The 14892-nt window shown below is 44.7% G+C and overlaps 1 protein-coding gene across 32 annotated transcripts in view; it reads left to right on the top strand.

Annotated features, from left to right (window-relative positions):
- SH3KBP1 (SH3 domain containing kinase binding protein 1) overlaps positions 1-14892 on the top strand; it is a 353624-nt gene that overhangs the window by 273861 nt on the left and 64871 nt on the right. For all 32 annotated transcript variants that reach the window (NM_001353890.2, NM_031892.3, NM_001353892.2 and 29 more), the window contains one exon: positions 5695-5802. In NM_001353890.2, the coding sequence (NP_001340819.1) occupies positions 5695-5802 (108 nt within the window). The remainder of the gene's footprint in view (positions 1-5694; positions 5803-14892) is intronic.

The following is a 14892-nucleotide window of genomic DNA, read 5'->3' as shown; positions in this document are numbered from 1 at the left end:
AGCAGTATGCTAGGAGGGAGTAGATAACCTGAGATGTAGCAGAACGCAGAGGCTGGACTACACAACGCCTAATGCTCAATTCATTCATTCCTTAAAAGGAAAAACATCATTTGCATTTTATAGGGAAAAGTATATGTTACCCTAATATCTCCCTGGTGTTGAGGCATAGAGAAACCATTTTGGCCATTTTAAGGACTTGAGTTTGAAAGAGTAAAAATGATATGTCAGAAATATGATTTCTTTCCATATTCTTGCTAAGGGTTTAGGTCTACTTTCCCCTGAGTTCATGCCAATAGAGCTTATGTCTAAACAGCAGCTTTCTGGAAGCGTCATCTACATGCTGCTCCTTTTCTCATTTCTACCTCCCACCTCATTCAGAGTTCATCCCCTCACCTGCCTACAATGCTCTTTCTCATTTGTATTAGAGTCTAAAACTCCATGAAGGTGACTGTCGTCTGGAGTTATGCCTGGGGTCCTGGTGTAATTTATTAATAGCGCCCCAGATTTGGAAACAAATTGTAGTACTTGGGCCACGTTACCTCTCTCCTCAGTGGTCAGCTACTGCCTCACCATCCTGCCTTCACTCAACTTCTACCGTCTTCCTTGGGGACATCCACTTCCGCCCTGATGGCAGTCGGGCCTCACAAGCGGTTGATCACCTGCCCCTCCTTTCTGCCCCTGTCACTCAGTGGGTGCTGTCTTGCCTCACACCTCATATCACTGTTCAGTAGATGTTGGAGGGGCAGGGTTTGTTCCAAGCTCTAATTCCTGTATATTCTCTTCCATGAGCACAGCTTTCCTCTCTCCCTCTTCTCTTCCTTTACGCTCAGCAAGTCTGCCCTTGACCATTCTCATTGCCTCAGTTCTTGTCCTTGTTCTCTGCTTCCAGGCTGCCCAGCTTGTCTTGGTCCCACTTGTTTGTAAATCCATTCTAGCACTTCTGCCAGTGTTTCTGTGCCATTCTGATTCACTGTGTCTGCCTCTCCCACTAGACTCTGAGCTTGGGAGCCCCACAAGGACATGATGGTTTTCTTTTCTCCCCTGGATTCATCTCCTGTCCTGCACATTTTAGAAGTCTAGCCCAGCCATTGGCATTTTTTTTTAAAATTCCCAGGTGATTCTAAGTGTGCAGCCAGGTTTGAGAGCCATTTTAGGTTCTCAGTAAATAAACTGAGGCCAGGCGCTGTGGCTCACGCCTGTAATTCCAGCACTTTGGGAGGCCGAGGCAGGCAGATCACCTGAGTTCAGGAGTTCAAGACCAGCCTGGCCAACATGATGAAACCTCATCTCTACTAAAAATACAAAAAAATTAACCAGGCGTGGTGGCAGGTGCCTGTAATCCCAGCTACTTGGGGAGGCTGGCGCAGGAGAATCGCTTGAACCTGGGAGACAGAGGTTGCAGTGAGCCGAGATCATGCCATTGCACTCCAGCCTGGGCAACAGAGCCAGCCTCTGTCTCAAATAAACAAACAAATAAATAGAATTTGCTGCTATTTTATACTTTCGAAAGCACAGCCCTCATACAAGTCTCTTCATCTCTGCCATCAAAAGACTAGTTCTTTTGTCTGGTTTGTTGAAGAGGACTTATTTTCACTTCTCATTTTGCTGTTAAAATTATTCCTATTTCCCTTAAATTAGCTTGTATTGCTGGGGGAAAAAAATGCCTTGCTTCTCTGTAAATCTCTATCCCACTCCAGGCATCCTGACCCTGTGCCCACTTTCTGTCTTATAGCAGACTCTTTTCTTTGGCTATTTTTCTTGTTTTTTTTTTTTTTTTTTTTTTCTACTTCTGCTAGTAGCACTAAATCACACTGGCAGTTTTCTCTTTTGACTGTACTTATCTCATCCATGGACCTTGTGTTTATTCTTGTACCAATCAGAACAATTAGACATATTGTGTTCTCCCTTCATGCTTCCCTTCTCTTCTTTGAATTATGCAATGAGTAGCACTGTTAGTGTTTTCCTTAAGAAGCAGAATATAGATGGGCCATCCAAGCCAGTCATCACCAAGGGGAAATATGAGACATACAATGTCATTATGTACCATTTTCTCCCGTAGGGGTGTATGGGATCTAAAGTTATTCTGGGCCGGGCTCGGTGGCTCACACCTATAATCCCAGCACTTTGGGAGGCCAAGGTGGGCGAATCACCTGAGTCCAGGAATTCGAGACCAGCCTGGCCAACATGGTGAAACCCTGTCTCTACTAAAAATATAAAAATTAGCCGGGTGTGGCAGTACATGCCTGTAATCCCAGCTACTTGGGAGGCTGAGGCAGGAGAATTGCTTGAACCAGGGAGGCGGAGGTTGCAGTGAGCCGAGATCACGCCACTGCACTCCAGCCTGGGCGACAGAGTGAGACTGCGTCTCAAAACAAAAGCAAAAACAAAAACAAACAAAAAAACCACAAAAAAAACCAAAGTTATTCTGGATGGGCTTTTGCTCATTAACATTTTCTATATTGTTTTTCTCACATGTGAAGCAAAAAAGGTTCTTGGGTTATTATTTGCATAAGACTAAGATGAAGCATGGATTTACACTGTTTAGAAAGTTTGAGCCCAGGTGTGGTAGCTCGCACCTGTAATCCCAGCACTTTGGGAGGCCGAGGCAGATGGATCCCTTGAGCCCAGGAGTTCAAGACCAGCCTGGGCAGCACGGCGAAACCCCATCTCTACTAAAAATATGAAAAATTAGCCAGGCATGGTGGCATGTGCCTGTAGTCCAAGCTACTCAGGAGGCTGATGTGGGAGGATCTCTTGAACCCAAGAAGTCAAGGCTGCAGTGAGCCGAGATCATGCCACTGCACTCCAGCCTAGACAATGAGAGTGTGACTCTGTCTCCCTGCAAAAAAAGATAGTTTTTTTTTGAATGCCTTTTGTGGGCATAGTTCTGTATCAGATGACCTGAAATGAATGTGGAAGGAAGACCAGTCCTCAGCTAAGCAAACCATTCACACATGTAAAGATTTCAGATTATTGCAAAAACTGTTAATGGTTCTCTCCTCTTTTGGTACTAGAGCACTCATTTGATCCCTGTTACCCAAAGGACCTTGCGTAATATTGTATGTCTGTCTTTCCCATACATCTCTAAGCTCCCTGGGGTTAGAGATCATGTTCTCTGCATCTGCATGTTTAAGGTTTGGTGCTTACAGAGCTTAAATATATTTTGCATTTAATAGATGTTTATTGAATTGAATATCATTAATTGCAAATTAACACTGTACTGAGCATTAGAGAAAAGATAAGGCATTCATCATAGTCAGTTTCTTAAAGGTGAGTTTCAAGTTGAGTTTTGAAGAAACCTAATTCCAAGAGTTAGGGTCAAAGAAATTCTACTCCCAGCTTCCTTCATAAGTTTTTCTGTTATCATTGATAATGTTTGTAACATCCTAGGGTCAGAAGAACCTCAGGAGCCACCAAATCCTGCCACCACTCCTGTTCATAAATCCCTTCTTTGAAGACTGATGCTAGTATTCAGGGGGTGATGTGACATGGGCAGGACCAGACTATCTACTTGGACTTCTCAATGTCATTTTTCCAGAAAGATAAGCATCCTTTCATGTTGAAAGACTTTTGGACCCTTGTTTTGTTCTGGGTAAATCTGAACTTGATACTTCAAGGGTCTTTGGTTTTTTTTGTTGTTAGTTGGGGCTAGAATTTATAGTCTGTGACTAAGGACTGATTTCCAAAATCTGCACTCTCTTCCCTAAGGAAGACCCTAAGGGGTCAGCTTATCTTTGTAACAGATACCACTGGGGCAGTGGAAGGTGGTGATGAATTACTTGCTACCTGAGGTGGGCCTTATGCTAACTTATAGAGAATTCCCACGAGTTTAGGCAGATAGAGGCCATCCTGTTCTACAGTAATTCAAGTATTGGACTGGAGGAGATCGCAGAACTCTCAGGGCTAGAAAGAGTCTGCATTGATTCTACAAATACTTATTATATGAGGCATTGTGTACATGGCTGGGGGTATAATGGTGAAAAGTCAGATGTGCTCCTCACCTTGCTGGAATGTATGATCTAACAAGGTACAAATGAGCCATACAAGCCATGGCTCTCCCAGGGCCCTACAGCAAGGCCTTAGGCCAGCTGCACATCTGGTACTTGAGCCCTTTTCTAATCCCACTGGTGTCGTGGAGACCATGGGTTCTCCATGGGCCCTGAACATGATCTCCTCTCTTTCTCTGTCACCTTCTTGCTTTCCCTTATGTGTTATCAGCAGGTTTTTTTGTTTGTTTGTTTTTTGGAAAGCCTTTTCTCATTTTGGGCTTCAGCTGGAAGTTGTTGATCACGAGACTTGGGAGTCTGCTATAGGACAAAAAGCAGGCTCAGGGTCAGGATGCCTGAAGTGGGATGGAGATTAACTGATTACAGGGATTTTATTCAAGGAATTTTATATTTGACAGTGGTGTGTATATTATATATATACTGGGCAGGAAGCGTTGCCCAAGTGAGGAGGTTTACAGTAGGCTGGATGAGCCCTGGGTCAGGCGGTAGAAGTGGAATTGGACTCGGAGGACAAATGTGAGACATATGATAAAACTCCAGCAAATGGGACTTCCAACCAGTTGAAAATGGGAAAAACTAGAAGTGGTTTTGTGGCATGAGATTATGTGCCCAGGAGAACCACGAGGCCATTAGGCTCATGAGAAAGGCCAGGCTCTTGCCATTTTTGCTCGTTGTCCTTTCTCTAGCACCTGGCTCAGTGTCCAGAACAAAGTAGATGCTTGATAAATGTTTGATGAATGAATGAACAAAATAGAGATTATCCAAAGGGAAGCAAGTTCACTCTGGAAGAATGGAGAGCCTTATTCATTCATTTAGGATGCCAACATTGCATCCTGTAAAGTGGAGGAAGGGATTTTCATGATGGCAACTGTGCGCCATCAACATCTAAAGGAGAAGGTGAAGGAGAGCAGTGCATTAATGAGCTTGTGTAAAGTATGATTTTTCTTCTGGTTGGCTGACTGTCACAAAACCTTTTTTCAATATTGACAAGCTTTGTGACAGGCTAATCACATTTGTGCATGTGATATTTTCTAAGCCATATTTGCAGTTAATGAAATACTTTTATTTCAGTAAAATTAAAATGAAGAAAACACATATTCTCCCATCCTTAAAGAAAAAAGAAAGGCTGGGCGCAGTGGCCCATGCCTGTAATCTCAGCACTTTGGGAGGCCAAGGCGGGCGGATCACCTGAGGTCAGGAGTTTGAGACCAGTCCGGCCAACATGGTGAAACCCCGTCTCTACTAAAAAATACAAAAATTAGCCAGGCATTGTGGCACGTGCCTGTAATCCCAGCTGCTGGGAGGCTGAGATGGAGGAATCGCTTCAACCCAGGAGGCGGAGGTTGCAGTGAGCCGAGATTGCACCACTGCACTCCAGCCTGGGCGACAGAGTGAGACCCTGTCTCAAAAAAAAAAAAAAAAAAAAGAAAGAAAGAAAGGTAAAAGAAGACCTTATTGATTCAGGGCATCTAAAAGCAGCACTGGGTTTTGAGTACCAGCCGACATTGTTAAGCGGACTTAAGCTTTTGTTTTCCCCTCTGACATTGGGGTTTGTGCTGACTTGGTAACCATTGCCTCATTAACACGGACCTCCAGGAAAGGGCCTCCATTCTCTTGAAGAGGGGGGTTACACCCCTCTGGAGGCTGCTTGCCCCCATCTCTCACTCTCTGTTCTCCTGTTTTCTAGGACTGCATCGACGTAGGCTGGTGGGAAGGAGAGCTGAACGGCAGACGAGGCGTGTTCCCCGATAACTTCGTGAAGTTACTTCCACCGGACTTTGAAAAGGAAGGGAATGTAAGTCTCCTTCACTTTGATTTCAGCGGAGTTGTGGCTCCCATGTTGGGACTTGGGATGGGGGAAGTTTGGTGTAATGTTGAAGAGCACTGGCATTTGAACATTCAACAGACCCAGATTCTGAGCCCTCGGCTGCCATATACTCTGTAACAAGTTTCATCATAGGATGCATCTGTTAGCTGGCAACAGTGATCTCTACTCTGCGGTTGTTGCATACATAAACAAGATAGTGTGTGTAAAGCACTCGGTGCAGCACTGGCACATTTCAGCACCCAAATAAACTGTGAGAACCTTGGGTGCTCTTTTTGGTAAGTGGACTGCCAGCATCCCACATAGCATGGTCCTTGGGGGTGGGAAAGTAGCCAGTGTTGTGGAAGTGGTTGAAAAGCACATTGTAAGGCTGAGGATGCAGGGCGAGGCCTGTTAATCTTTCTACACTATATGCTTACATGTGTGAGTACACCCGCACATATCCGTATATTAGTATATACACATCTCTCATCCACGGTTTCTCTTTTGTTGTGGGAGCCCATTTGACCATGCCACTGTTTAAATCAGCCACTCCATCTGTGTTTGCCTCACTCCAGGTGTATTCTTTCCCTGCTGACGATGTAATAAGAAATATTGGGAAGTTAGAAGCACTTTCCAGTATAAGGGAGGAGCAATCCCATATTTAGGTTCTTTGCCCAGGCTTTTGCGTGGCCTCTGCCCACCTTTCCCAGCCTCAACCCACTTCATGTCCATGGGGACTCTGTTACTGGACGGTGCTGAGCCAGATCTTGCCATGGCACGATTCCAGTAGGGCTGAGGTGTGGGAAGGATAGCTACAGTGCTGGTGGCTTCGTTGCCAAGGATACTAAAGTAGCATTTAATGGAATTTGTGCTGCTTTGATGAATGGATGTAATTGTTTAAGAAGCTAGATGGTGTTGGCGCCTGCCAAGATTACGGCCCATAGACCATTAGGTTGGTTTAAAGGCTAAGTTAGCCACACTTTGTAAGCTTTTTGATTGCTTGCTTTCTTGTATTGTTTAGGTGAAGGATGTTCTGTTCCACACCTGTTGTTCTCTCTTGGAGTCTGAGTTTGGGTTCTAGAGAATCTGGATTCTGGTTCTTAATGTTTCCTAGATTCTTGATGCTTAAAGTGAGATCCATGGACCGGCAATAGCAGCATCACCTGAGAGCTTGTTAGAAATGCTCAGACCCCACCCCAGACATGGTGCATCAGAATCTGCATTTTAACAGCGTTCTCTGGTGATTTGCTTGCATATTACAGTATAGGAAGCACTAGTGTAGAAGCAGGTATCTAAGTGATGACAACCCACCTTCTGGTTTCCTCCCCCATCCCCCATATTTTAGGAGGGAAATAAATTCACACAACAGAGAAGAGCTCATCATTCAATAAGGAAATTTTCCACCAAGCAAAATCACTTGAAATGTTTTTACTGATGACTGTAGCAATAGTGGATTGTCATTTGACAAAATCAGTCACTGAGAAGAAAAGATACTAAACACTTAGTAGTGACTGCATAGGAAATGTTTTGAAATAGTAGGACGCAGGAGTAAGGATGGCAAACATTACAAAGAGTACAGTGGTTGTGACCCTAGGCTGTGGCATCAGATAGATCTGGGTTTGAATCCTGGTTCTGTCACTTACTTGTTCTATAGCCAAACCCGAGTCACTGAATGTCTCTAAGCCTCTGCATTCTCATCCATAAAATCATGAGAATAATTGTACCTACCTTGTCGAAGTGTTGAGAGAAGATTTACTGGGATGATGCACATAAATTCTTAAACATGGTGCCTAGTAGTTGGTAAATGCCTCACACAGATTAACTATTCCAGTCTTTATAATTACTATTTACCACGAGGGTAGGAAGACTCTAGCTAAAACTGTGAAGTAATGATAGAAGGCTGACTCTAGTTCTTTTTGCTCCAGCTCATCAAATCAACACAGTTATCTTGGTATCTTGGCGAGCTTCCCTAGGAATCCAAATGCATCTAAAAACTTTGATAAATAGCCATTAGAAATAAATCTAGCAACTTAGAAAATGTATTGGTAGAGACACGTGAGCACAGAATGGCATAATCTTTATGTTATTTGTCATGGTTTTTTTTTCTGGATCTGCTGCCTGATAAATGTTTTATTTTCATTCACTCATTCAGTATTTATTGAGTCCTTTCTCTGGGCTGGCCACTGTGCTGGTTGATTGAAAGTGAAGCGTGCACATGGGTACTGTCCTTGTGAGCTTAGAGTTAGGCAGTTAGGTCTGGCGTTTAGGGCCATGGAGACCTGCCAGACTCTTCTGAAAGGACACTTGATATAGGCCTCTCCAAGTGAGTGGAGGCAAGGGGGCTGTTCAGTCTGCCCATACCCCGCTTCTCCCCTATCTTTGTGAGGCTGGTAAAAGCTAGGCACATCCTGAAGCATTTGGGCGCCAAGACCTTCATGGTGACTCCTCTCCCTTCGACCAAGGAATCTTAGCAAGCATACCATCTTACTAGACATTTGCCACCTTATTGGTTCTGATTGAGGCAGTATGTTTTTTTAATTGACAGATAAAATTGTATTTAATGTTTACAACGTGATGCTTTTAAGTATATATACATTGTGGAATGACTGAATCTAGCTAATTACCATATGCATTACCTCACGTCGTTATTTGTGTGGTGATGGGCAGTAGGGTTTTGAAGACTAGGGTAAAATCTAGATCATTCTTTTAACAAATGGGTAAAGCATGCCTTCTAATTCCCAGTCATGTCTTGGGGGGGGGCAGTAAATTCACTCAGGTGAGAGCTACTCCATACAGTACTTTTCTAGAAGCTCTGTGTTACATAAGCTATTAAGGGAAGCACTTCCACCAGGAGAGTGAAGTTGTCAGTGATGAGTGGACTGGGCATGGCACGCTCTTTGGGACATGCACGCTCTCTGGGGCCCCATGGGCATCTCTCTAATCCCCCACAAGCAGCCGCCATCTCTTTGATAAGTCTTTTAACCTTGTCCTTATGAAGCAGAAAACCCAATTTAAGGGAAACAATAGTCATACCCGTCAGACAAAGTAATACCTATAGCTGAAAAGTGATTGTATAACCTAACATTTAACTTCCAGAAAATTCAAAGTATAACATCCCATTCCATCTCCTCTGGTCTATAAAAACCAGCCAACCATCTTCACATTGGTTGTTATACCAGCCTTTATTGCTGCACCCAGAGTATTGGTGAGTTGGTGACAATGCGACTGGAGATAGGGCTGTCATTTGCTGCGCTGAGGGTGTGAAGATGATTAGAATCATTAACACGAAGGCACTATGTGAATGCTAGAGTCTGAAACGTTCTGCCACTGGTGTCAGCAGATGTCATCTTGTCTTGCCAGTGACTGGGGTTACAATCATTCACCCAGAAAAGAGGACGATCTGTGATGATTAGGGTAGACAGAAGCAAACGGCATTTATTCAACAGCAGGCCTCTTGACTCCGTAGGCATCCGCAGAGCATTCTGATAAGGCTGACATATTTTCTGCTGGGGTGTGAATTCAGGTAGTTACTACAAGGCCTTTTGGAATTCCTGGCCATCTTTCTTTCGGAGAGTGCTTAGTGGATTCTCCCTCACCAGGGTAACAAATGCTTTGGGGTTTTTCCTCAAGATATTCCAGAAGAGCATCCGTTGATCTCTTGGTGCATATTTTAGAGCAATTATGTAAGCTATTTATAAGAGAACCTAGATTCAATGGCTGTCTGTTTATTTTTGGCCTTGACAGTAAAATTGAATACCAGAACGGAAAGATTAAATATTCTGAGAACTCTAATGAAGCAGTGTGTGTGCTGTGTCATTGTTACAGAAGGCTAACGGGGAACTTAGACTCTCAAAAACAGCAGAAACAACTGCTCACTGTCATTAAAAAAAGAACAAAATTAGAATAGGTATTTTGAAAGATAGTGTTATTTAAGAAAGTGGCCAGTGTGGTGGTTCATGCCTGTAATCCCAGCGCTTTAGGAGGCCAAGGTGGGAGGATTGCTTGAGCCTAGGAGTTTGAGACCAACCTGGGCAACATAGCAAGACCCAATCTCTACAAAAATAAGAAAAATTAGCTGGACATGGTGGTACATGCCTGGAGTCCCAGCTATTCAGGAGGCTGAGTTTGGGGGATCGCTTGGGCCCAGAAGTTTGAGGCTGCAGTGTGCTGTGATCATGCCAGTGCACTCCAGCCTGGGCAACAGAGCGAGACCCTGTCTCAAAAAAAAAGTAAATCTCAGGCTCCAGTTCTTTTAAGAGAAACTGTTCAAATCACCAGAAGATATTACTGATCTACCATGCATTTATTTGGAGGGCTCTTCAGTGTTAGTGCAAGTCAAGAATGATGGCATTGCTAAGATTCCCATAGGCGTTTCCCTAATGAATGCTCCCCAGTGGGAGCTCAGCCTCAGGGACTCAGAAACCTGCCCTCGAAGATGTCCCTGTGAGTATGATGCAGGCTCGCCTTTGCTGAGTCACAGAGACTTAATCAGGTAGCAGGCAGCCAGCTTACTCATCACAACAAGAACTCAGATGTCAGCCAGTCTGGAACGCAGAGGTCTGCCTGCCCCGGTCATTTTGTCCCCTATGGGTCTGATTCCTTAGAAGCCGGGTTCCACCAGAAGCCACGTTTATCCGGTGCTTTCCGGGAGGGCAAGGAATCAAAACAAGAGGAGTTTGTTGTTCTTACCAAGGGTCTGGCAGGTATCACTTGAGGCTCCTTCATGCACCAAAGGGAAAGATCTGCCAAGGGAACCATGTGTTGAAGTCAACTAAGCCTTGATGATACTTCTAAGAGCACTGCACCACTGCCTTCGGCCTCCATTTGTCTTTGTTTTCATGACTGACTGGACCCTTCCTGTTCACATCAATCTCCAGACACATTGTGATGCAATCAGTTAGATTTCCCACTTTCTCCATTATAATCATGTGCCAACCCACCCTCTTACGATTTTTTTTAGCACAAGTTTTGCAGGTTCCAAACTTTTGCAAGAAAGGAAGTCTCTTGCTCGATTCCCACAATGGCCGAATTTTGCTGGTTTAACTCTACCTTCCCTATACCAAATTCGTAGGAGGCCCCTCACCTTACTTAGCCTCCATCTTCTGACAACTCAGTCCGTAAAATCTGTTCTTAGTCAACATTTTCTTTATTATTCATCATGTCCTTTAGCCTTTAGCCCTGGCCCTAATTTTTATTTAGAATCATCTTAAAAGACATCTTGTTTGAAAACGTGGCATCTATAACAAGAACTGTTGTTTTTCTAGTTTCTGAAGATGCCCGATAATTTCCCTATTTTTTAGCCTTCCAAAAGAAAGAAATATGTGCTTCTAATAAGCAGCCTTATGAAAAAAATTTACCTAAACATTATCTGTCTTGAACATTTAGTTTCATGGGTGGTTTCACATGCAAAGAAATGGGGTTTGTCAAGGAGTTAATGTCATCTGAGTATGGCCTATTGACTCAGCCCCAGTGGACTTTCTCAAAGCCACCCAGATGGTATTCCCTCTCCCTTCTCCAGCTGTACTTACAGCCTGTAGTCTTTGAAGGCAGAGCCCATGTCCCAAGCTTCTCCTTCATGGGGCCTTACAGCATGCATGGTACATGGTTGCTGGTGAAGAACCCATGGTCCTTTAGTTGGTTGGTGCCAGAGTGTATCTTCTCTTCCTCCTGCCTCTCCTCTCCTGCTTGCTGCTTTCTCTTGTACAAAAGAGGAGGAAGAGTGGAAGGGAGGGGCAGGGGGAAGCTGGCCTCCTGTCAGATTGTCCTTCCTAGACCAAGAGAGGCCCAGATCCTTCCATCTGATCATGGGGTCTGGGCATGGAATCAAGGCATCACTTTCAGGGTGGGGCAGATGGAATGAAGGGGTGAGCCAAGGGGTGAACTGTGAGAGCATCTTAGGGAGAAACCAAATGCCAAGGCCTGGCTGACCACCCAATAGGCCATCAGTCTGAATGGGAGATGATGGATGTAGACCACTAGGCCAGAGGCTGAGGAAGGAAACTAGAGAAAGACTCTTCCAAGAGCAGATTCCCTAGGTCCCTGGGGATCTCCAGTGCGGGTGACAGGGCAGGCAGTTGCTGGGGACTCTATAGGGTACAGAGGTGCAGTTTAAGACACTGTCATCACCTAGAGCATAGCTTTAGCTGCACATTTCAAAGGTGTGGCTGTTCCTCTAGGGGCAGGGGAGAAAAGGGCAGAGTGGAGATCCCCATGTGTTTCTAGAGCTGCAAAGGGGTGCCCTAATCAGGAGCTGTCCATTTGTGTCCCCTCTCCAGCCTCACCCACAGACACCGCCAGAGAACTTAGTGGGATGTGTGGAGGAGGTCTCCCAAAGTCCAGAATTGCTGAAAATCAAGCTGAGACTTACTTCCAGAACCTCACCATATTCCTCTAACGAAGCCCTTTAAAGGTTACCCAGCCATCAGGGTACACTTCTGTTTGTGTTTGTTTGTTTTTACCAAATCACATCTCTGGGGCCAGAGCTCTGAAGGCAAACCAGCTCAAGAGGCAAAGTAGCAAACCAGATTCCTGCCAGGGGAACAGTTGAGCCAGCCAATGAGCCTTTTGCTTGGGAAGGGCCAGTCTTGCCAAGCAAAGGGCAGAGTCAGTTCTGAAATCCTTCACAGGAAACAAAGCTTGTCTTCCTGCCATTCTCATTCCAGAACGTTTATATCTATTTCCTTCCTGGTAATGTAAAGGTAAAAATCAAATCTAGCTAATATATCCTTTGAAGGATGGTGTCTGCATGTCTTGGTGCCAGCCAACAACCCCGCACACAAGCAGACACAGACGCATGTGCACTTAGGCCTGTGCTCCCTCCATATATGAAGACTATGGAAGGCATTCGGCTCTCCCAGAAATCAGAAAATGTGGGTTCATTGACTTTGTTACCATTATATTCATGTTGGTTCTTGTGAAATGAATTCCCGTAGTCTGGACATTGAGAAACGTAGAGTTCTGGGCCCTCTGGCTACCAACTAGCTGTTGAAACAGCCTTTCTGGGCCTCAGTGATCTCAGCTGCAGGGGGGACTCCTGTGATGACTTGCAGCTCTTAATATCCACTGTTTTTTTTTAGCACTTACCTGCAAATTGAGCAGGCTGAAGCCACCTGAGGTTGGAGCTGGAGCATTTTACCTTCACCATGGAGGGAGGGATAAAGAGAATAAACAGAACAAGTGCCTCTAGAAACTCAGGACTTAAATACTTGCCTGAGTTGAAAGGATGTTTTTGGGTGTGCACCTATAGGAGCTGGTTAATATCTTATTACTGTTAAACTCCACACAGGAAACCTTGACCTACTACTTAGCCCGGAGGACCCCAGCCCCATTTTCTTTATCCAGTCACAATGGGATGTTTGGAGGGAAATCAACTAAATGATCTCTTCATGTCTTTTTATTTGAGAATAGTGAACTCCTGTGATGAATTTTCTACTGTCACATTTTGCTGGAGAATCACCTGTTTTGCCTTCTCAGTTCACACTGCCTTGTCTTCCTGTTGCATTTAAAAAGAAATTTTTAATTTGTTTCATTTTTTTTTTTACTGAGACAGGGTTTCCCTCTGTTGCCCAGGCTAGAGTGCAGTGGCACGATCTCAGCTCACTGCAGCCTCTGCCTCCCGGGCTCAAGCAACCCTCCTGCCTCAGCCTCCCGAGTAGATGGGACCACAGGCATGCGCCACCACGCCGGACTGACTTTTTGCATTTTTTGTAGAGATGGGTTTTCACTGTGTTGCCCAGGCTGCTCTCAAACTCCTGAGTGCAGGCAATCTCCCTGCCTTGGTCTCCCAAAGTGCTGGGCCTGTTGCATTTTTTTTTTTTTTTTTTTTTTTTTGAGACGGAGTCTCGCCCACTGCAAGCTCCGCCTCCCGGGTTCACGCCATTCTCCTGCCTCAGCCTCCTGAGTAGCTGGGACTACAGGTGTCTGCCACCGCGCCCGGCTAATTTTTTGTATTTTTAGTAGAGACGGCGTTTCACCGTGGTTTCGATCTCCTGACCTCGTGATCTGCCCGCCTCTGCCTCCCAAAGTGCTGGGATTACAGGCGTGAGCCACCGCGCCTGGCGCCTGTTGCATTTTTTAAAAAACATTGTAGGCCCATGTGCAATACTTTATGAATCATTTTGGGGAGGGGGACAGTCTACAGCCGCATAGAACCCTGGTCCTGATTTTTATTTAGAATTACCTTAAAGACATCCTGTTTGAAAATATGGCATCTTTTCTCCTTTGAAAAAGCATGAAGGCTAAGTTTGATGGAACCAGAGAAAGTGAAGTCAGTAAAGGATTAAAAAAGAGGAAAACTTGTGAACCCCCTCTGCTAGTAAGCAAAGCAGGCACCTGGCCAGCATTGATCAAGAGTGGTAGATGCAAGACAGACAGCTCACAAACTGTTCCTTCCTTTCAAAACTGTGCTCCCAACTGCCTCTGCAACTGCCGGGTTTCCGAACAAAACTTCACACTTCTGTCTCTGTCCTTTGCCACATTCACACACATGCTTGCTGTGACCACACTCTTCATACACTGTCTGTTAGTGCAACATTTTCCTCTCTCCCTCCCCTGGTGCCCCTCTGCTCTGCTCTGTCACATTTCATGTGTCTGCTACATGCTAAATGTGACACAACATTAAAGGGATTTTTTTTTTCTTTGACCAGTAATCTTGGAAAATATGATGACTTGTAATTGTCGTTTTTAAATTTGGGGCCCTGTGGTTTGAGGCAAGGTCGCTGGGGTAATGGCCTCAGCGAAAGGAGGCTCATGTGAAATTGGCTATAGAAAAATTCAGACCAGCAAGGAGTGAGGAAGATGTCCAGGGGTAGGTGTCCTTGGGACTTGGCTGGGAAGAATAAGGCCACGGGGTGTTGGCAGTTTTGTAAATAAGGAATGACAGGCATACTTCATTCTTCTGTGCATTCCTTCATTGTGTTTCAGATATTGCGTTTTTTACAAATTCAATGGTTGTGGTAACCCTATGTGGAGCAAACCTACTGGCGCTATTTTCCCAATAGCATGTGCTCACTTCATGTCTTTGTGTTACATTTTGGTAATTCTCACAACATTTCAAACTTTTTTATTATTATTATACCT

This window comes from Homo sapiens, chromosome X (genome assembly GCF_000001405.40).
Source record: "Homo sapiens chromosome X, GRCh38.p14 Primary Assembly".
NCBI classification, from domain to species: Eukaryota; Metazoa; Chordata; class Mammalia; order Primates; family Hominidae; genus Homo; species Homo sapiens.
Note: the sequence above shows the minus strand (reverse complement) of the source record. Positions and strands in the feature narration are given on the sequence as shown.